The sequence below is a fragment of the Homo sapiens genome, chromosome 7 (genome assembly GCF_000001405.40).
Source record: "Homo sapiens chromosome 7, GRCh38.p14 Primary Assembly".
Classification (NCBI taxonomy): domain Eukaryota; kingdom Metazoa; phylum Chordata; class Mammalia; order Primates; family Hominidae; genus Homo; species Homo sapiens.
In genome coordinates, this window is record NC_000007.14 from 107,354,671 (window position 1) to 107,379,127 (window position 24,457).

The following is a 24,457-nucleotide window of genomic DNA, read 5'->3' on the forward strand; positions in this document are numbered from 1 at the left end:
CGTCTCAACAACAACAACAACAAAAAAGCGAAACTGAATTAATAATTATGATAGCAAATTGTCAAGTCAGTCTCTGAAATAAGTGTAAATTATTTCACTTTCCCTCATAATATCTCAGTTCTGTGGGCACTATTATTATCCTCATCTGATATTTGAGATTACATGACCTACCCAAGGTTGCACAATCAGTGGTAGCAAATCATACCTATCTGATAGCAGGTCAAAATTCTTAATTACTACATTGTCCTGCCCTTGACACTACTTGAATAACTGTTACAAAAGAAGCCCTTTAAGATTTGGCTTTCCAAATGCTAAAAGCTATACTTACTCTTATGTAAATTATTTTGGACCACTTTTAACATATTTTAGGGATCTGGGCAGACTGACTATAAAATATAACACATAAAGATTATTAAATAATGAGCGTAGCAGGACAGTTTGTTTTTTCTACAGATGAAGTCTTAGAACATTAACTAATGAAAAATTTTCTCACAAACACAGGTTTAAAAAATCTACAGGAAAACATAAATTTAAAAAATGAGTTACCATGACACACCTATTAGAATAGCCGATCTCCAAAACACTGACAAATCCAAATATTGGCAAGGATGGGGAACAAAAGTAACTCTCTTTCTTTGCTAATGGGAATACAAAATGATACAGCAACTTTCAAAAACAGTTTGGCAGTTTCTTACTAAGCTACATATAGTCTAACAATACAGTCAGCAAGCGCAACTCTTATGTATTTACCCAAAAGAGATGAAAATGCAAAAGGCTGAGCAAGAGGTGAAAACCACACAATAATGTCTACAGTAGCTTTATTCATAACTGGCAAAAACTGGACGCAACCAAAATATCTTTCAATAAATGAATGAATAAACAAACTGAGGTATAGCTAGGCAATGGAATATTGTTCAGTGATTAGAAGAAAACTACCAAACCAAAATAAGCCATTGAAGGAACCTTAAACGCATATTGCTAAGTGGAAGAAGGCATTCAGAAAAGGCAACTTACTGTATAATTCCAATTACATGACATTTTGAAAAAGGCAAAAACTATGAAGACAGTAAAAAGATCAGTGGTTACAGAGGTTCAGAAGGGAATTCAAGTAGGAATGAATAGGTAGAAAGGAATTTTTTGGGAAGTGAAACTAGTAAAACCATTCTGTGTGATACTGGAATGGTGGATTCATGACATACATTTGCATAAAGCATTGTGAACAGTGGTATATTTGTTACAACTGATGAACCACTATTGTTACATTATCAACTGAAGTCCACAGTTTACACATTAGAGTTTGCTCTTAGCACGGTATAGTCCCATGGTTCTTGCATAATGCATAACATTGTACTTTCTGCTCAATATTTTGTAAACCTAAAGCTGCCCTAAAATCAAAATTAATTTTAAAACAACTCTAGATATTGAACTACAATAAAAGGACAATAATTATAAAAATTATTTAACAAAGGAAAATGTAAAATAAAGGCTTTTTTGGGTAGAAATAAAACAAGCTGGTAAGAAGAAATGAAATACAGAAATTTCATCATAGCTTACAGTGAATTACAGAAGCATTGAAACCAAATGGTTTGAAAACAAAGAAATCTGGAAAATATATTCTTAATTTTCCTACTTGATATGGAATTAATAATGTAACTGTTTATAATCCATTTTCTAAACCAAAGAAAACATATCTATTAAATTAGCTTTCAGTGAATTTCAAGTACAGACTACTGCTTGTACAAATTTCAGCCAAGTGTGGTGGTGCAAACCTGCAGTCACAGCTATTTGGGAGGCTGAGGCAGGAAGATCACTTCAGCCCAGGAGTTTGAAACCAGCCTGGGCAATACAGTGAGACCCTGACTCATAATAAATAAAACAAAATAATAAAATAAGTAATTAAAAATTTTACTTTCTCAAAGGCAGCTTTTGAATAAAAAAAAGAAAAAAATTTCAGTACATTTTTTTTAAGTCTGTTATAGACAGATTCCAGTGTAGAAAAGATACTTGCTAGTAATGATTGCCCTAGGGAAAAAAAGTATTAATTTCTGAACAAATATTATAGGAAGCATATGATGTAATTCTAATATTATTTCATCCTGAACTAGTTATACTGTTTTACTTCATTTTTAAAATAAATAAAATTTTATTCACAGGTGTAAAAGGCTAAGCCACTAAATTAGAAAGAATTTTCAATATCAGGATATATCCTTCTTAAATATCTTAAAACTGCAAAAACTTGTAGAGTAAGAAGAACATTCTATTCATAACCTTTTCCTTGAAAAGAGGTTAGAAAAAGAGATTTTGGTGCATATATCACTCTTCAGTGACTCAAGAGATATATCGTTGTCTACTCAAGTTTGAAATTTCCTAAAGAATATAAGCATTATTATTTAGGGTCCCCAAATCATTCTAAAAATCCTGAACTTTTTATAAAGGTTCTATTGCCAATGATAATTATCTTAACTAGAAAAATAATGTTCTTACTTGGTAGTTACATCCTTAGCAAAAATATTTGTTTACAGCTTTATAATAAAGATGTATTTGAAGAAAAAGACCATTCAAAGAAATTGTGCTAAATATTGAGGACCTTATGTGCTGTCTTTTGAGGTTTTTTTACTTTTCTCTTGCTCTGGAATTCCCAAGTATGGAGAGGGAAACGTCATTTTGGACTTTTCACAAAAGACTGATCTTTTCTATAGATAGGTACACTGAATTCCAAGAGACTAAATTTTTTCATAAATATTGCCCTTAAAAAAATTTCAACTAAACTGGTAATTTACATTAAAATTTATATATAAATAGGTATGTGTGTGTGGCATAGGAATATATTCTTAAATAGCGTGAGAATAGTGTCTGAAACAGCAATCTTTAATGGTTTTATTTTAATGAGAAGTTTTTTAAGTACATGAAATAGGTGAATAAAAAGCATATATCCCTATACCTAACAATCCTTTTTAATCAGTAATGATTCATATGCATTTTCTTTCTCTCTTTCTCTCCTTCTCTCTCTTTCTTCCTGAAAGGGTCTCACTTTATTACTCAGGCTAGAGTGCAGTGGTGCAATCTTAACTGACTATAACCTTGAACTCCTAGGCTCAAGCAATCCTCCTGCTTCAGACTCCTGAATATCTGGAACTACAGGTGTACACTACCATTCCTGGCTAATTGTTTTAGTTTTTGTAGAGATGTGGTCTCCCTATGTTGCCCAGGCTGGTTTTAAACTCATGGCATCAAAAGATTCTCTCACCTCAGTCTCCCAAATTATTGGGATTACAGGTATCAGCCACTGTGCCTGGACTCATACGCATTTAAAATCTGGCCTGCACAAGTTGCCAGTGTTCATTCACCTTAATAATTTATTGTTATCAAGAATTTATATGTGTTTTTATGTAGAAACTCTACCCAATGTAATAATATTACAAACATAAGCCTCCTAAATAGCAGTATTATTTACTTTTGATATTTTCCTTAGATTCTCCTGAGTACAGTTGTTTCATTATAACTGTTCTTATGTTGTTTGTAGAATATTAAATTGTTCAAAAGGAATAACAATATGCAAAGTATTTGATAATAAAAGCTCGAAATGAGGCCACTGCACATAAAGACTAAATAGATTCATTTGTGTAGAAAGCCAAAACCACAACAAATGAATGAAAACACTGCAAGTATAGTTGTTTGTCTGTAAATATGAAGGCCCAATATTAATTATCCCATCTAGTAATAAATGCAAAACATGAGTGACTATACACCTTGACAAAAGCATCTCATTGTTTCTTTCACACAATTGAAAGCCAAGTAGAAAGCAGGGTAAAGTTACTGATATAAATATACGTGCACAAAAGAGTTAACATAACAGGTCTGAGTAGCTATTGTCAGGAAATCCTGATTGCAAGGTTGGTATTTGGCTAGCATCTAGGAACTCAGATTTTGAGAAGGACCCCATAATTCTCTGTTAAGAGTTGTTCACTGTACCTAAACTGTCTGTGACAAACAATATGGTTTATACTGAACACCTGCTTTTCTACTGGGAGTCTAGAATTTTGGTATGTCTTTAGGCATTAACTAACCCCTGATAAAACTCTGGACTCATAAGCTCAAGTTGAGTTTTCCCAGTAGACAGCACTTTTTGCATGCTGTCATAACTTGCTACTGGAATAATCAAGGGGGTCAAGTCTAACTACAGTGAGAGAGGACTCTTTGGAAGCTTGCATCTGGTCTCCTCTAGATCTTGCCCCATGCATCTTTTTTTCCTTTTGCTGATTTTGCTGCGCATCCTTTCATTGTCACAAATCATAGCCATGAGTACAACTATATGCTGGCGATGGCAGGGGCGACCTCTCTGGAGCAGCCACTGCCATGAGGCTGGCTGCAGTGGAGAGCTGGCAGGAGTCCCACCCACTTCTGAGTTGGAGGGGTGGGACCCTGCCCTCATGGCTACAGCTGCAGCTGCCCAGCCACAGCTGTGGACCCAGGCATCCCTGTGTTCTTGGTGACCTGGGAAGCCCCCTGCCTCCACAGGCTTGAAAGTGCCTGCTCCCACTGCCTGGCCTCTCCCAACTCCCAGCACCTACTTTGATTTCACAGCACAACTGAGGCCGAGCCCAGGTGCTGTCACATCTCAGCCAGGTGTGTGCAGACTCAGGGCAGCACACCAGCCCTCTGCCACCTTGGCCCACTCCAGACTTTGGACACCAACAAGCATGGGAGGAAGGCCGAGGGAGTGTTGAGGGCAGCTCAGTGAGGGCCTGCAGGTGCCCCGTGGCATGAACAGCCTGAGTGCTGTGGATGACAGGTTGATGGTGGCAGGAGGCAGAAAGGCTCCTGGGCAGAAATGGGCGAGTCCATGGTGAGGACCAACATTTAAGCCAGGGATCTGAAGCCTGGGGGCTGGACTGCCAGTTCTGCGGACTGGAGTGACAAGTTATGGTGCTTTTTCCAGGCCTGCCCATGGCCAACCATGGACAAATCAGCACACCCTTCCTCCCTTCTGAAGCCCATAAAAACCCCTGACTCAGCCAGACGACAGGACTATCTGCCTGTGGACAGGAGCTACCCACTCTGGGTCTCCTCTGTACTGAGGGCTGCACAAACAACGGGATGACCTGCCAGCAGATACAAGCTAAGCACTCTGGGTCTCCTCTCTGCTGAGGGCCACACAGATGTCAGGATGACCAGCTTGCAGATGGGACCTACCCACTCCAGGTCTCCTCTCTACTGAAGACTGTACATACATCAAGGTGACCTGCCTGCAGAAGGGACCTACCCACTCTGGGTCTCCTCTCCACTGAGGGCTGCACAGGTGGCAAGATGACCTACCAGCAGATACAAGCTAACCACTCGAGGTCTCCTCTATGCTGAGGGCTGCGCAGATGACAGGATGACCTGCCCGCAGGTATAAGCTAACCACTCTAGGTCTCCTCTATGCTGAGGGCTGCATGGATGTCGGGATGACCAGCCTGTGGATGGGACCTACCCACTTCAGATCTCCTCTACACTGAGGGCTGCACAGACATCAGGATGGTCTGCCTGTGGAACGGAGCTAAATACTGCAGGTCACCTCTCCACTAAGAGCTGGACACTTGTGGGGACGATCTGCTTGCAGAAAGGAGCTACCCACTTTGGGTCTGCCACTCAGTGAAGCTCCTCTCTGCCTTGCTCACCTTCCAGTTGTCCACATACCTCATTCTTCTTGGATGTGGGACAAGAACTCAGGACCCACCAAATGGCTGGACTAAAAAAGCTGTAACACAAACAGGGATGAAACATGCCTCCACTGCTCACCACATTCTGGGCAACAAGAAGGAGAGAAGAGCTGTGGCCCTTTGGGAAGCCCACACCTAGATGCACCCCGAGCCAGGGTTGTGACACCTTCTTTGGGATTCTGCAGTTCCTGGTGTCTCTTGAGTTTCCAGGTGTCACTACATTCCCCTCATCTAGATGTGGGCTACATTCCCCTCATCTAGATGCCTGCAGCATAAGCTGTGTGTAGTACATCTGATCCAGCTGCAGTCTCACATGGAGCTAGCACCTGTGCTGACACCTGGAGCTGCCTGCCCTGCCACAGCAGCCAGTGTGCCTGGCTGTGCACAGTGGCTGGACCCCAAGCTTGTCACTCACATACCACTCACTGCTCTGTCCCTGGCTCATGTTTGTCAGTTGTGGGGTCTGGGCTGGTAGTGTGAGCCAAGTGCAACCTGCTAGGCCAAGAGGGCGGAACGAGCCCAGCGGGCATGAGCGATATTCAGGCAGAAGGCACCACTGGTCACAGGAGTTTCTGGCTGGCGAAGTGACACCCTAAGGATCCTGTGACGCTGGGTCCTATCCATCCTCCTAATAAATCATCAAACTTGAGGGCTAGTCCTGGAGGCTTTCCACACAGTATACAAAATATTTAATATTGTGGACTTACAAAGGAAATTACCTATACCATAACACTAGAAACTCAGGAAACTTTTTTCTTTGGGCTACTGGAGGTTAGGATTTAACAATCGGTAGAATCATTATCCTATGAATCATTATCAAAAACACATCAATATAATGAATAAAATGTAGAATCAGGGATTCCTATGCATGGAAAGAATTCTTATGGCCCATGAGGCTAGTAGATTGGTGGAAGACAGAAAGATCTCAGAATATGGAAAATGAATATAGCAAAGTACTTTATGGGAAAAATCAATGACCTTCAGTAAACACATTATAATGACTTCTATTTAAATGTCGTATTTATCAAAAGTTTTCACCTTATTCTCTAGTGGAAGTTTTAAAGCACTTATAAGCTGTCATTTATATGACAGAAAATGAGAAATTAGTATATACATTACAGAAATTAATCTATAAATAATACTATTGCTGGCAGCTACTCCATAAACAAATATGATTACATTTATTTTAGTTTATTTATTTATTTTTGAGATAGAGTTTCACTCTGTCGCCGAGGCTGGAGTGCAGTGGCGTGACCTCAGCTCACTGCAACCTCTGCCTCCTGGTTTGAAGCAATTCTCCTGCCTCAGCCTCCCGAGTAGCTGGGACTACAGGCATATGCCACCACGCCCGGCTAATTTTTGTATTTTTATTAGAGACAGAATTTCACCATATTGGTCAGGCTGGTCTTGAACTCCTCACCTCATGATCCACCCACCTTGGCCTCCCAAAGTGCTGGGATTACAGGCGTGACCCACCACGCCCAGCCCCATGATTACATTTATATTGCAAGGAACATTATTATAGTTGTCAAGAAATACACTTCTCTATTGCCATCTGATATGTAGCCACTCTATAAGGTAGTAGTAACACAAATGATGCTGACTCATATATTCCTGTTTTGTACAAGAAAGATGTAAAAATATTTTCCTTTAAACATACCTTAACTATTTCTTCAATGAAACAAATGTGAGAAACAGGATCTCTCTTCTTGGCCAATACTTTTTGTAGATGTTGTACCTTAAATGAAACAAATGTAAAGCTTAGGCAATAGAAAAAGCAAGAAAAGGGAAATGGCAACCTTTACGTACATTATCATCAGCTAGTGGAGGTATTTTGAATGCTCATTGATTAAAAAACCTGCCCAAGGTCACACAATTTGGAATAACCAGGAGTTAATCCATATTAATGTTTTTTCCACTCCTTCAAATATTTACCTGTCCACAAACAGCATAAATATGATCCATAAGTTTCTCCATATTGGTCCAGAATGAGGCACGCAAAGCTGCAGTATTTCCTGGGGTTGGCATGGTAGATCGTCCAGGTCCCCCTGGTTATGAGTGAGAAAGAACAATGAAAAATAAAGTTTTCCAAAGGCAAATATATATATATATGTTATTATAAAAACCATACGCAAGCTAAAAAATGAGAAGTTCCTTCTTTAGGAAATAATTTATTGAGTAAGAATCTTAACCTTTTATGCTTAAGAAAGAAAGGGAAGCGACACATACCCAGGAAGGATAAAATGGAAATTGATGAAAATGGTTTCCTACAAGAGGTGTGAGAATGGTGGGAAATGAAACAGGTGAAAGGTACAGGGATGGAGGTGAGTCTTCCTCTGTTTCCTACCACTCTCATGCCTCTTGTAGGAAACCATCTTCACTAATTTCCCATTTATCCTGTGTATGCACATGTGTGTGTATGTGTGTTGTATCCCCTTTCTTAAAAAAAAAAAAAACCCTAAAACTGAACATAAACACATACCGAAACAAATAAAACTAACTGTATATCAAATTGACAATATAACCACACAGGAGGAAAACAATTTTAATTCACGGAATTTTTACTTACAGAACGCTGACTTTAGTGAGACACATTTATGCACAAAAAAATTACAAAGAAATACTGAACTTTATTAAATAGATTTTTGCTGGATGTGGTATTGAAGTAGTAATCCTGAAACTAGTTTAGGTATATTTTGGAATGGAGCAAAATAAGGTTCTCAGTGTAAACAGAATAAAGACACAAATACGTAACAGGAATCAGAGGTATTTCCCCACTCTATCCACTGGAAAGTCAGAGAGACAATGGTTCCTCAATAGTAATAAGTATATGTAGTGTCCAAATTTTGATTTCTAAGACCATTCTCCAATAAAAACAAAGCAGGATTCAGTGGAAAAAAGAGTGATTTCATATTTGGAGCAGTGAAAATACAAGGTGAATGTGGTAGATATTGTGCCAGTGAGCAATAAAGTATTTGAAGACAAATGAAATTTTTCAAAAGGATACATCAAGTTGACTGGAGGGGGCTTCCACAACACAAATTTCAGAGAATTTGGCCATCCAAAATAATACTGATGGTAATGAATTATAAAACAATGATTAAAAAATAATTCATGAGTACACAGTGAAACTCAAATGTTTAAAAAGGATGGAAATGCTCTTTACAAAAGAGTATCAGCTAATAAATGCAGAAAGAATGACAGAATTAGAAAAAAAAATCACCATTTTACAACTACTGGTTGCAAAGTTAATTAAGACAAAGAGTATCGATGGATACCAAAACACTAAGTGAAATGTTATTGGCCGGGCATGGTGGCTCATGCATGTAATCCCAGAACTTTGAGAGGCCAAGGTGGACGGATCACCTGAAGTCAGGATTCGAGACCAGCTTGACCAACATGGAGAAACCCCATCTCTGCTAAAAATACAGAATTAGCCAGGCATGGTGTTGCATGCCTGTAATTCTAGCTACTCGGGAGGCTGAGGCAGGAGAATTGCTTGAACCCAGGAGGCGGAGGTTACAATGAGCCGAGATCGTACCATTGCACTCCAGCCTGGGTAACAAGAGCAAAACTCCATCTCAAAAAAAAAAAAAAAGTTATTGAGAACAAGATATTCATCACATAGTCTCAAAGTATGCACCTATAAATTACTAATTACAAAGATAAGAGCATAGTATTACAAGGAGCACTCTGGCATATGCCAATTTAATGAAGTGATCTAATTTAGCATCAGCAATAATGAAACAAACTGAAATAATTTTGTTTTCCTGATATGATGTAATAGGAAGTACACAACATCATCTTACCAATAGTATGTTTACCCTGAAGCTAATCATGAAGAAAATATCACATGAATCCAGACAAATTCAGATTATGAGGCTCTCCAAAAAATGTTAATGCCATTAACAACAACAACAAAAAAGCCAGTGGTGCTGTTTTTTATTAAAGAGACAAGACAGCCAACAGAAAAGCATGATCCCTGATTGGTTTCATTGGTTTCAGTCAGGGGAAATCAACTTACATAAACAACATTTTGGGGAACAATAAAATTTTGAGTATGAACTGCACCTTAAATAATATTAATGTATCAATACGAAATTTCTAGAGAGTGAGACTAAGAATTTTCTTGTATATAACACACACAGGAATCTTTATGTAAAGGTTTGAAATGTTTCAATAAAAAAATAGAAATTTTAATCCCAAATTGAAAGGCATACATTTCACTCCAAACTGACGTTTAATACCAGGCAGTAGAAGAACTCATCATTGGTTAGTCATTCTATATCCCTGCTTTTAAGGAGGACAAGATCAAGAAAACCAGAGGGACTGTGTGTGTCAACTACCTCACTGTAGTTTTTCAACAATTCAGAAAAGAATTACATGTACCTTTAGCAAACAGATGCAGTTATTTCTTTAATCTGATAATAGTAGCAAGCAATAAAATAATCTATGAGAAAGATGTTGGCTTAAAAAATATAGATATTATCTGTTTGAAATCCGCATCTAATGAATCTTTAGAATATTTGCAGTGCTATGCAAAGACTATTAAGGGAAGGTATACAGGAAATGGATAATACTGTAACAATCTGCAGCTGTCTCATATGTTATATAAAGAATGAACTCATAACAGTGAGAAAAGGGTATGTAGTGCCTTTATGAATACTAAAAAAATAGGTCAAATTCCTGGAATATGTATGACTTGGTTTTATTATAATTATGAAACCCTTTAACCTATTATTCTTTTAAATACAAGCAGAAATACAAGACATTGCCATTACCAGTTAGCTTTAATAGACTCAAGAAACAAAATAGTCTCTTAAGTTTTATGTAAGTGATAAAATAAACTAAGAGTTCCTCATAGATATAATACTTGAAAAATGGTTTCTAGTTAGTGACGGTGGAATAAAATCATTTTCTTACTCTCTTCTCTTGAATGCCAATGAAAAGAAAATCAAACAAAAGATAGAAAATGTCAATTTCAAAGACACAAACAATCAAACAAAACTTCAAACTTGAGATTATGAAGCATGCATGCCAGTTGCTGTAGATAAGTCAAAATGAAGAAGGAACCAGAGAGATGACACCTTAGATCATTAGGAAGAAGTAAATTGCTCTTAAAACCAATTGTAAGAATTTGCACAAGCTATCTAAGGATTCTTTGATTACAGCTGAGATCTACAGATTAGGACAGGCCAGGGAATGTTCAACATTGCAAAATGACAAAAAAAAAAAAAAAAAAAAAAAAAAGAAAAGCTGAAGGAAAATCATAAGGAATTGATATTTATGTTGTTTAAGAATTAGCCCCTGAGTGTGGGGCAGACTACTGGAGGTAAAGTGAGATGAAGAAAAAAAAAATACTGAGAATGCTAGGATTCAACACTGAAATGGCTTAAATAGCTTTACTGGTAGCCATACTAAGCTTCTGAATGATGCAAATTTTGAGAACAGATGTGCTCCCAAGGTAAAAAGAAGTAACAAACTGGTCAATGGTTATTGTAGACAACAAACCTAAATTAAATTGCAGACTGCTTCAGGTATCTCCCTTCAGCCATGCCTACACTATTCTTCAATGAATAGCTAGCACTTTTCAATGATGAATAATCATCAGAAACAAAGCAACAATAGACTTAACATAGACACTGGGGAGGGTGGCAGGAAGGAGGAAGAAAGGAATATAAGCTAAAAGCAGTGATAAACATATATCACCAAAGAAAGAATAGAAAGGGATACTCAGTTTTCCACTGTCTCAAATTACTGGAATACTCACTGGAAAAATATTATAGAAATAAGGACCATATTAGAAAAAACACAAGTTATAATAAACGAGAGTGAAAACATAGTAACACATGTGAAATAGGCAAGAGGAAATAATACAAAATGAAGTAAAATGCAAAGATACTGGAAGCAAAGTGAAAAAACTCCAAGCAAATATTAAGAGAATCAGACTTCCACATCCATGACACCCTCTCTCCCACAGCATGCCCAGCACCAAGTGCAAGAAGATACTAGACATGGAAAACAGAGAATATCTGATATATGCATAAAGTTCTTGAAAAGAACAAATGGAACAGGAAAACATTCAATATACAATGGAAGAAAACTTTTCTATAAAAGGGAACATACTTTAACACACATACACACACAAAAACTGACACACAGCGTTCAACTGAGACATATCCTAAAGAAGTCACTGAACTTCAAAGATAAAGGAAAAACCATTTGGACAGTCAAGAAAAAGCAAGTCAGGTAGTGTGGGATAAAAATCTGATTAGTCTCATAATTCTCTAATACAACACTAAAACCCAGCAGTTGGTAAAGCAACGTCTGATGGTAGATGGGACCCTCCATTTTCCGTTCATATGAAGGGACTTCAGCTAAAGTAACTTTCTTGCCTTCTTTCCCTACCTCTTATCCAATTCTCCCCATGTGAAGAGGAGTGAGTGATGAGTGAATCTGAATAAGAAACTGAGCCTAATTGGCTCAGTCTCTTCCTTTCTCTGTTGTTGAAGCTTTGCATATATAAAAGGTGCATTCTGACCAACATTCTACCAGTGGTAAGTATAGTGGGAAAGGCTGAATTGGGAAGTAAGTTTAATTTTGAGGTGATATATTAAAAAATCCATTTGGTCATAAATCTAAGCTATGCCTTTCGGTGTATTTTTTTTTAACAGTAATAAAACTAACATTACAATTGTCACCTTTTTTGTCTCCTACATTTTGTCTCATTTTCCAATTCAGTGGGGGAAGAAAAACATTATTTATTTGGACACATACAGCTACAAAATTCTAAGGGAAAGAAAGTGTAAATAAAAATTTATACCTGGCCAAATCATTTAAGCATAAAAGCAAAACACACCACCAACTACACAAGGACTCAGAAAGCACAGTACCCATAAAACATTTTGAAAAATCAACTAGATTATGATATCCAGCCAAGGGAGAGATGAATATAGAAATGGAGAGGTCTGGTACAACCTCTATGGAAAATAGTACAGAGATTTCTCAAAGACCTAAAGTACATCTACCATTCGATCCAGCAGTCCCACTACTGGGTATCTACCCAGTAGTCATATATCAAAAAGACACCTACATGTGTATGTATATCACAATGTAACTCACAATTGCAAAGACAGGTAACCAATCTAAGTGTTCACAAAACAATGAGTGGGTAAAGAAACTGTTGTGTATATATATACACACACACACACACCATGGAACACTACTCAGCCATAAAAAAGAATGAAATAATATCTTTTGCAGCAACTTGGATGGAACAAGTGGCCATTATTCTAAGTGAAGTAACTGAGGAGCAGAAACTTGAATACCATATGTTCTCACTTATAAGTGGGAGCTAAGCTATGGGTACAAAAAGACAGAGTGGTATAATGGACATTAGAGACTCAGAATGGGAGAGTAGGAGGGATGTGAGGGCTAAAAAACAGCATATTAGTACAATGTACATGACTCGGGTGACCATCCACTAAAATCTTAGACTTCACCACTATACAATTCATCCATGCAACCAAAACCCACTTGTACCCCTAAAGCTACTGAAAAAAAGAGAAAAGAAATGCAGAGGTCATATTAAAAGAACCAGAGATTAAAATAATTTAAAAATAGAATAAAATGTAAAAAACATTAATCATTCAAAAATAACATAACTAACAACTGGCAAATGAGGATGGGGGGCGGGAAGGGAAAAGTATAAGTATGCCTATTTCCCACATTTAGTAGTAAAGACTCAACAGACTTAGTAACAAATGACTTCAATTTCTTATTTTTTTTAAATCTTTCATTCACTACTTTTAAATTTGGAGGTATCAATTAGGATCTAGTATTTCTTATGAAGAAGCATTAATTGGAAATTCATTAAGTCCTTGATGTCACATAAATTTCTAATTATTCTGTTGAATGAAAGTAAAATACTTTTTATTTTAAAAAGTATACTTCTAAAACTGGTGGGGCTAAACTATGGTGCTTAAGTTCACACATATGAATGATAAAACTATAAAAAGAAAAACACAGGAAGTTATCAATATAAAAGTGAGGATGACAATGGTTATATATGAGAGAGAGAGGGGCTGGTTGTGATTGGTACGGAGTACATAAACAGGTTTCTGGATCGCTGGTTTAGCCTAGGAAGTGTTCACCTTATAATAATTCATTAAGCTACATGTTTATGTTTTTCTTTAAGTTTTATAATAAAAAGGTATTTTTAAAAAGCATGTATCTTAAAATTCCATTTATGCCTCTCCATTTACCCTTCTATAACATATAATGCACAGATAAATGTATGGACTACTTTTCACTGTATAGTAACAACTACAGTATCTATCTGGGTGATGAAATTTGGATATTCTGTGTTGTCTACTTTGCTTCATCATCATCTTTCTTCACTGTTTGACTTTCTCAACATTTATGTTTTATTGTTAAATATTTCAGGCATACAAAAAAGCATATAGAATAATGTTATGAACACTAACCACCAAGCTTTAAGAAATACAACACTAAATAAAGTGAAGTTTCCTTGTACTCTCCTTTGCTGGTCTCATTTCCCTTGCTCTCTCAACAGATGTAATGGTATCGGGTTTTGTAGTTTGTTTTTAAGAGACAGAGTCTTGTTATGTTGCTGAGGCTGGATTCAAACTCCTAGGCTCAAGTGATCCTTCCACCTCAGCATCCCAAGTAGCTGGGATTAGAGGCATGTGTCACCATGCCCAGCACTGGTATCTTAAATTTGTTGATCATTATTCCAATGTGCGTATTTACACTGTTAGTACATATGTGCACATGCAAAAACAATTTAATATGGTCTGTCATATTCTTAGGCTTTAAATTGGTATCAGGCTGTATGTATGTATCTGTAACTTTTTCATGTGCTGTTTTTGACCATTATCTATACTGGGAAATTTGTTAATTTAAATGCTGTGTATTAATCCCCTTAATAAACTAGTTTATCCATTGCTTGTACTTTTTCACTATTTGTAAACAATGAGGTAACAAAAATTCTTTTTTTTTTTTTTTTTTTTGAGATGGAGTCTTGCTCTGTTGCCCAGGCTTGAGTGCAATGGCACTATTTCGGCTCACTGCAACCTCTCCCTCCCAGGTTCAAGCGATTCTCCTGCCTCAGCCTCCTGAATAGCTGGGATTACAGGCATGCGCCACCACGCCCGGCTAATTTTTCTGTATTTTTAGTAGAGAGGGGGTTTTACCATGTTGGCCAGGCTGGTCTCAAACTCTTGACCTCAAGTGATCTGCCCACCTCAGTCTCCCAAAGTGCTGGGATTACAGGCATGAGCCAACACGCCGGCCAGGTAACAAAAATTCTTACATATACATGCCAGATTTTCCTTGCAGTATATTCTTAGAAAGTATAACATCATAAGGTGAACACATTTTCCACCTTAGAGATAAAATTGATAAAATTGAGTAAAGTGAATTTTATTCTCCTTGCATAGTTTACAAGAGTTTCTGCTCTTGTCCAGAACTTAGTTCTGTCTTAGATTTTGCCAATCTGATGATTAATTTCTATTTCCTTAATAACTAGTTCATCCTCCAAAAAGAGGCTGAATATCTTCTCACATGCTTATTGAATGTGTTCTTCTGTGACCTGCCTATTCATATTCTTTATCCATTTTTTTCTCTTGGGTTGTTTACCTTTTTCTTATTGAGTTACAGGCTGTTTACTTTTTATACTTAAAATTGTATTATTTATATTTATATATGTGCGTGTGTGTATAATTTTTTTTCTCTTCTTAGGAAGTCTCAGATTGAAAATGAGATCATGCACCATCACACTCATGAATGCGACTGTCAATCTCCTGTGTAGTGGTTGTGTTAGATACTCAACAGCTGTGAGCCATTCACTCTCAGAAACACACACTGACAGAATCCTATTATTTTTAAAATTTTGAAATAATCTTACACTTATAAAAAAATTGTAAGTATTGTAAAAAAAAATTTTCCCTGAACCACCTGGAAGTTACTGACCTCATGCCCATCATTCTTGAATATTTTAATGTGTATTTCCAACAAACAAGGACATTCTCCTACATAACTTCAATATAAACAAGATCAGGAAACTAACATTAATACTGTCTATAAAACATTTTAAAATATAAAATAATTGGCTGGGCGCGGTGGCTCACGCCTGTAATCTCAGCACTTTGGGAGGCCGAGGTGGGCGGATCACCTGAGGTCAGGAGTTCGAGACCAGCCTGGCCAACATGATGAAACCCCGTCTCTACTAAAAATATAAAAATTAGCTGGGCATGGTGGTGGGCTTCTGTAATCCCAGCTATTCAGGAGGCTGAGACAGGCGAATTGCTTAAACCCAGGCACCAGAGGTTGCAGTGAGCTAAGATCGTGCAATTGCATTCTAGCTTGGGTGACCAGAAACTCCAGCTAAAAAAAAAAAAAAAAAAATTTATATATATATATATACACACACAATAATTGTGATTATGCTTTTAAAGAAAATAATAAAGAACTGATGCTTAAGGTTTCTGTGTTAAATCATGGTATCCACTTGTCAACACATGGTAATAAGGCAGCTTTTTTTAATTCTCTCAACAAAAGAGGCATACATTAGGATTGACAGCACATGAATAACTGCTTTCATTTTTTTCCCCATTCTTGACGACACAAGGGGGAATGAGATTAAACTGCTCCTGGAAATTTAAACATTATATCAAACTTTCTGAGAATAATTGCTGGGAAAAGCCAAGAGTAAAATCTCCTCTGGCAAGTTCTTTACAAAGATCTCTTTCTGGAATAGTTTCAATACAAACCTATTCAGAGGCTAGGCCTAACCTTTAAAAATCTCTTTAAGACCTAAGATTCTTTCATCTCTTTTTATCCAGTACAACTTAAAAGTTATATATATTCAGTATTACGTAAGGTCACATTTATATAGCAAATATAAAAATAATAGGCCAGGCATGGTGGCTCATGCCTGCAATCCCAACACTTTGGGAGGCCAAGGAAAGAGGATTGCTTGAGGCCAGGAGTTCAAGACCAACTGGGGCAACATAGCAAAACTCCATCTATATTTTTTTAAATAAAAAATTAACAATCTAAAAAAAATTAAAAATTAATAAATAGCCACTTTTTTTCCTATTAGCTATGGATCAGGAACTGTTATTAATTCAATATGAGTTATTCCATCAACCCTGTGATGGATCAGAGTGCCTTCAACAGAAAAATGGGAGGAGAAAAACCAGAAACATTAACTATAGATAACATTTTGGGAAATTTTCCTGAAGACTGAAGAAATAACATGCAGGTAGTAGAGCTGAAGAAAGAAATTAAGATATATTTATTTAATTGGTTTTAAGCAAAAGGAGATACAATAACACAACTATATGTGAAGGGAAAGAGATGCAAAGAAAGAAACATTGTCAACCTGGTAGAAAGAAGGCATCTGCTAAAGCAATACCTTGTAGTGATGGGATCTAATACAACTGCAGAGTGCTTGGTCTTTGCTGGGAGAAAGCATAGTTCATCCTTACCAACAGGAAGGAAGAATGAATATAAGGGGAGAAACAGAGAGATGGAGTGGCAGCAAGTAAGTAAGGATGGACATAATCTGTGGTCTTTTCTATCTTCTTTTACGGAGAACTGTGTGTATATGTAAATATCACCAGGTATGTCTTGGTAGGAAAAGGTTTACAGACTCCTAATGAAAGGCTACTCCTCTCTACCTTGAATTTACCATCCTTTAATAGTTTTCTTTAGACTTTACTACAGTTGTAATGTTGCCAAGGATTTTATCAGTTTCTATGTCCACAGTCAGTCATTATTTTTCCTGGGTACCAGAATTATCATAAAGAAAAGTCCAGAAAGCTAAAGTAGAGACGGCATTCCTTAAAAAATATTTTCTGTCTTTAAGAAGTACATGGGAGGATAAGGATTTTAGAAGAAAAATATGTTCCTTGCCTTTTTATTTTTTATTTTTTGCATCTGTTTCCTCTCAACCAAATGACGCTACAGTTTATGGATCTTTATCTAGAAGTTCTGAATATACCAGTTGGCCAGTTCAATTCACTGATTAGACAAAAAAGATATAAATAAATTCTGAAACATAATTTCTTCTCTCATTTTCTGTCTACTAAAAAATGAGTCATTAGATTGCTTTGAAACATGAGTGTTTCACATACTATTCAAAAGACTTCTCAGTTATAAATAAATAAAGAAGCTAAATATAAACCACATCCATACCTCTCACAGCTGACTGGGAAGGCTGAGTCAAAACTTTTATGTCTAATGCACTGTTGATATTTTCTTCTAAAGTAGCACAATATCCATCCACAACACTGGTAATAGTATCCTTCAAAGTTCCAAGATTATAGAAAACCTGAAGAGCTGTTCCGACTTGAGTTGGATTCTTAAAAAAAGGTGGGGTGGGGTGGAAACAGATATAAATAGGAAAACAAACAAAATCAACATAAATATACAACTTTAAGCAGGACTTCAGCAGTCCTATCATATTTAAATACTACCATATTTTAAAATTATCAAAGACAAGAAAAAACACATTTTGAAGTGAAGATTATTTTTAAACTTTATTTCATAAAATACAAAGTTAAATACTATGTATATTATTTTCCCCCTTACCATTTTTGTCCTCCTTTAAAAAATAACAAGAAGTTTGAAAGTCTGTTGTATAATATTCGAGCTTATTTAAAATCTACCACCAATCCCTATAAAAAGAACCATATTAGAAATAACATTTGTTATTTCTACATTTGTTTGACAATAAATTAATTCTGTGGAGTTGACTGAGAGCTGAACCATGCAGACTTATTCATTATATTTCACTGACCCATTAATTCATTCTAACTACAAATATTTATACAGTGCCTACTGTATCTGTCATAGCTCTGAGTGCTGGAAAAACAGTAGTGAAACAAAACCAATTAAGTTCCTGTCTTCATGGAACTTACATTTATTGAGAAATGTACAAAACATAAATAAAACAGAATAACGGGTAGTAACAAGTGCTATAAAAACGTGAAGTAGGGAATAAGAATAGAGTATGATGGGAATTATTATACAGAGATTAGTCAGAGAATGCACCTCTGAGGTAATATTTAAACAAAGACTTGAATATACTGAGGGAGTCAAAGGAAGATATGGGAAAATACAGATCGGGGCAGTGGTATTAGCAAAAGTGCTGAGATAGCAATGTGCTTAGTATGCTAGGGAAAGAGCAAGAAGGCCATGATGGAGCAGAGTGAAGCAGAGAGGCAGAAGATGAGGGAGGTATTGAAATATCATCAATGAGTGGATTATGTCCAGAGTGATATAAATGGGTTGTTGGATTTGTGGCTAAGTTAACGAACAAATTACCAAGCTAGAAGTTGAGACACTGACATATATTTTCAGGCCCAAATAACTCAAAATCCTCTCACGCATTAGTAAGTGTCTGTTATCAGAGACACATGGTTAAAATGTTAAATTATTTCATTAACCTATTTTCTATACTAAGTTTATTTTAGAAGGTTACCTCTGAAATCTATTGGTGTTATTTTAATAATAGTACATGCTGCAGACATACACATAAACTCACACACAGAGGCAAAGTAGACTCAGCTTAAAGAAAATAACAGGAAACATGGCTGGTGAATAACAATACTCATTTGAGTTTTTTCTTTTTAATTAAACAATAAAAAGAACCAAATGGATATTATTTCAAATTAAAATGTTCTAATAAAAAAGCTTAATTTAGTATGGTCATAATAGAGCTTAATTTTATGTTGTAAATTCTCTATTAACGTATGCCAACAAGGAAAATAAGCTATTTTATAAAAAATTATTAACTGAAAACAAGGGGTATAGCATTTGCTTTTACTTTCTCCCAAGACTGTTTTATCTTTAAACTTTTTAGTAGACACCAAAAATCAAAATGAGGCAGCTGTAAAGAAATTTCCCATGTCATTATTTAAGTGTATGTATAATCCAAGAAAGCACTACTGGAGCAACATCAAAGAATACTTTCACCTCATAAAACTAGAATACAGATATACTTTAAAACTATATTTATTGCCTTTACTATTATCAGAGGATCTGAAAAGCATAGCTTCTCCACACACAGTACAGTTTCAGTGTTATCAGCTGAATGTACGCTGTAAGATTTATGCATACAACAACTAAAAAACACTTAAATTTTTCACTTAAAACACCTAGCTAAAATAAACCACTCTTCAAAATTCTCCGCTCCAAAAATTACTAACTTCCAACTTCTCAAAACATGTTTGAAAAGGTTACTTCTGAAATCTATTGGCATTATTTTAACGTAATGGTGTATTATATTACAAATATAGCTCATCATTAAAGAAGTATATATTACAGCATTATTTATAATACAATTTACAATATTTATAATTCTAGAAGTAATTTTAAACTTGTCAATTAACATGTTCACTTTTTCAATTAATGGCATTCATATTTATAGCTTAACACATAGATTATGCCAGTAAAAAAACTGCAAAATAATTACCTGAAATAAAATTCTTTAAGTAACATACATACAGAGGAGTATGCTAATTATGTAAGCACAGCTTTATTATCACAAAGTGAACACACCTAGTTAACTATCACCTAGATCATGAAGCTAAGTATTATCAGCACCTTTGAATCTTGTGTAGCTCCCCAAACTGCACCTTTCCAAATATTATCACTATCATTACTTCTAACACCAAAAATTTATTCTGTTTTTGAATTTCACATAAATGGAATTATACAGTATGTATTATCTTGTGGCTTGTCCCTTTTACTCAACATATTTTTTTGTGAAATTCGTCCATGTTGTTGGATGCAGCAGTAGTTGATTCATTTCTTACTGCTGTGCAGTATTCCACTGTAGTAATTTGCTTTAGTTTATCCATCCTACTGTTGATAAATAATAGGCTTACTTCTACCTTTAGGTATTTTAATTTATGCCGCCATGAACATTCTGTACACCTCTATTAGTGAACATATATACATATGCATTTCTGTAGGCAAAAGTAGAATTGCTAAATCATATTAGTACACTTAGAGTTTGTAGATACTGCCAATTTTACAAAGCCATTGCAGCAATTTACACTCCCACCAGCGATATATGAAAACTGTGGATGCCCCACAAATTTGCCAAAAATTCAAATGATCATTCCTTTAATTCTGGCTATTATTTTGAGTGAGTACTATGATTTTAATTTGTATTTCTATGATGACTAAAAAACTGAATACTTCTTACATGGTAATTACCCATTTGGATATCTTCTTTTGTGAAGAACTTATTCATATTTTGGCCCATTTTTTTTAACTAGTTGTTTTTTGTCATTTACATATAAAGTTGTTTATATATTTTGGATACAACCACTTTGATAATTATATGTACTGCAAATATGTTCTCCCACTCTTAATCAAGTATTTTAAGGAAAAGAAATTCCTAATTTGAATGTAGCCCATTTTATTAATCTTACTCTCTACGGTTTAGTACTTTTGGTATTGTTTGATAAGTGTTCCCCACCCCACATTCATAAAGATATCTTTCATTCATAAAGTTATCCTCCTGAAACTCTATTGGTTTATCTTTCATGCTCAGAAATACAATTCACCTGGAATTAATTTCTATACAATGTGAAATAGGAGTCAAGATTAGTGTTTTTCTACATGAATACCCAATTGATCAAAAAAAGAGCAAATAAAAATCACCCGCACTCCCGAAAAGTCACCTTTGCAATAAACCAAGTTTCTAAATATGTGTGTGAGTTTCTGGACTTTCAAATCTCTACCATTTCTCTATCCTTACAATTCACCTATCTAAATTACTGTAGCTTTAAATACCAGATTTGGCAATCCTCTGCCTCTGTTCTTCAATTTGGTATAGGCTCTTCTTGATATATGACACTTCCATATAAATTTCAAAATTGGCTTGACAAATGTCCTTTTTTTAAAAAAGTTTTCAGGTATTGTTTGAGATTGCATTAACTCTATAGATAAAATTAGAAATAATGGATATCTTTGTAATATTGAGTTCTCAAATCCATGAATATGGTATCTCTTTTCATTTACTCAGGTCTTTAATTTCTCTTAATGTTTTATAGATAGTTTTCTGTGAAAAAGTCTTATATATCTTTAGTTTAAATTATTTCTATTATTTTTTGATATAAATTGTATGTTTTTAAATTTTTTGTAAACAATCAGTAAATTGTTTTGACTTTTCTAACTATATAACCATGGTATTTCTGAATAATTTTTATTTCTCCCTTCCCATTCTCCTCTATCTCATTGCTTTTCTTATTACTTTGGCTAGGATCTTCAGTACTGCACTGAGTAGAAGAAATAAGAGTGGTTTTTTTGCATCATCCCTAATATCAAATGGAAAGCCTTAAATATTTCACCATCGAGATTTTTAGAAATGCCCTTTATCAGATTAAAGATACTGGCTTGCTAAGAGTATTTTTAATCATGAATTGATTTTGAATGTTATTAAGTATGTATTGAGATAATAATTTTCCCCCTTTACTTGAGAAATTATGTTATATTTCTGGAATAAAGCCATCTTGGTCATAATACATTATCAGTTTTAGATCTCTGTGGCTACATTTACTAACACTTTGCTTATTATTTTTGTACAGATTTTAAAGGAAGACAACTAGTAATTTTACTTCCTTACAATATTCTCATTTTCATATTGACATTAACCTGGCCTCATAAAATGAGCAGGTACATATGTTTGGTCCCTCTTTCTCAATTCTTGGATACAGTTTACATAACACTGGTTTATTTATTCCTTAAATGTTTGGAAGAATTGCCCCAGTGAAGCTGATTGGCCTTGGAGTTTTCTCCAAGGAAAGGTTTTTTTAATAATAAATTCAATTTTGTTAATAGATATAGAACTAGATAGATTTTATACTTTTCCTAGTGTCATTTTTGATATGTTGTTTTCCAGAAATTTGTCAATTTCATCTAAATTTTCAAATCAATTGGTATAAACTCATACTTAATATTGTCTTAACTTTTTTTAGTTTTTGTTGGGTCTGTTATTAGATCACCTTTTTCATTCTTGATCGTGGTAATTTGTGCCTCTTTTTTCCCTTCTCCTCATCAGTCTTGTTGGTATTTATCAATTTAATTTGTTAATCTTGTTAAGTAACTAAATTTTGGCTTCTATTGGATTTTGTATTCCATTACTAGCTTTTTGTTATTCTTATTTCACAGACTTTGGAGCCAGACCTAGATCAGCATCCAAACTCTACCACATAGCAGTCAAAACCTAAAGGCAAATTATCTAACCTCTTTAAGGCTTAGTTTCCTCATGTGCATAACAGCAAAAATAAGAGCATCAACCTAACGGGTAAATAAAATAATCTTTACTCTCTAGATTCCTCCTTTCTGGGCAGGGCATCTCTGAAAGAAAGGCAGAAGCCCCAGTCAGGGGCTTATAGGTAAAACTCCCATCTCCCTGGGACAGAGCACCTGGGGGAAGGGGTGGCTGTGGGCGCAACTACAGCAGACTCAAATGTTCCTGCCTGCTGGCTCTGAAGCAAGCTCTGCTAAGGGACAGACGGCCTCCTCAAGTAGGTTCCTGACCACAGTGCCTCCTGCCTGGGAGACACCTCCCAGCAGGGGTCGACAGACATCTCATACAGGAGAACTCCAGTTGGCATCTGGCAGGTGCCCCTCTGGGACGAAGCTTTCAGAGGAAGGAACAGGCAGCAATCTTTGCTGTTCTGCAACCTCTGCTGGTGATACCCAGGCAAACAGGGTCTGGAGCGGACCTCCAGCAAACTCCAGCAGACCTGCAGCAGAGGGGTCTGACCGTCAGAAGGAAAACTAACAAACAGAAAGGAATAGCGTCAACATCAACAAAAAGGAAGTCCAAAGAGAAACCCCATCTGAAGGTCACCAACAGCAAAGACCAAAGGTAGATAAAACCACAAAGATGAGGAAAAACCAGCGCAAAAAGGTTGAAAATTACAAAAACCAGAATGCCTCTTCTCTTCCAGAAAATCACAACTCCTCGCCAGCAACGAAACAAAACTGGATGGAGAATGAGTTTGATGAAATGACAGAAGCAGGCTTCAGAAGGTGGGTAATAACAAACTCCTCCGAGCTAAAGGAGCATGTTCTAACCCAATGCAAGGAAGCTAAGAACCTTGAAAAAAGGTTAGAAAAATCGCTAACTAGAATAATCAATTTAGAGAAGAACATAAATGAACCTGATTGAGCTGAAAAACACAGCACGAGAACTTCATGAAGCATACACAAGTATCAACAGCCGAAACGATCAAGCGGAAGAAAAGATATAAAAGATTGAAGATCAGCTCAATGAAATAAAGCAAGAAGACAAGATTAGAGGAAAGAGTGAAAAGAAATGAACAAAGCCTCCAAGAAATAGGGCACTAGGAGAAAAGACCAAATCTACGTTTGATTGGTGTACCTAAAAGTGACAGGGAAAATGGAACCAAGTGGGAAAACACACTTCAGGATATTATCCAGGAGAACTTCCCCAACCTAGCAAGACAGGCCAATATTCAAATTCAGGAAATACAGAGAACACCACAAAGATACTCCTCAAGAGGAGCACCCAAGTCACATAGTTGTCAGATTCACCAAAGTTGAAATGAAGGAAAAAATATTAAGGGCAGCCAGAGAGAAAGGTCGGGTTACCCACAAAGGGAAGCCCATCAGACTAACGGCAGATCTCTCTGCAGAAACCCTAAAAGCCAGAAGAGAGTGGGGGCCAACAATAAACATTCTTA

The 24,457-nt window shown here is 36.0% G+C and overlaps 1 protein-coding gene across 10 annotated transcripts in view; it reads right to left on the bottom strand.

Annotated features, from left to right (window-relative positions):
* COG5 (component of oligomeric golgi complex 5) overlaps positions 1–24,457 on the bottom strand; it is a 362,549-nt gene that overhangs the window by 153,299 nt on the left and 184,793 nt on the right. For 8 of the 10 annotated variants that reach the window (NM_001379511.1, NM_001379512.1, NM_181733.4 and 5 more), the window contains exons 8-10: positions 17,925–18,090; positions 7,638–7,750; positions 7,363–7,440 (exon numbers count right to left, since the gene is read on the bottom strand). The exons of 1 other annotated variant lie outside the window; for it this stretch is intronic. In NM_001379511.1, the coding sequence (NP_001366440.1) occupies positions 7,363–7,440; positions 7,638–7,750; positions 17,925–18,090 (357 nt within the window). The remainder of the gene's footprint in view (positions 1–7,362; positions 7,441–7,637; positions 7,751–17,924; positions 18,091–24,457) is intronic. One more of the 10 variants, NM_001379516.1, reaches the window with a different exon arrangement.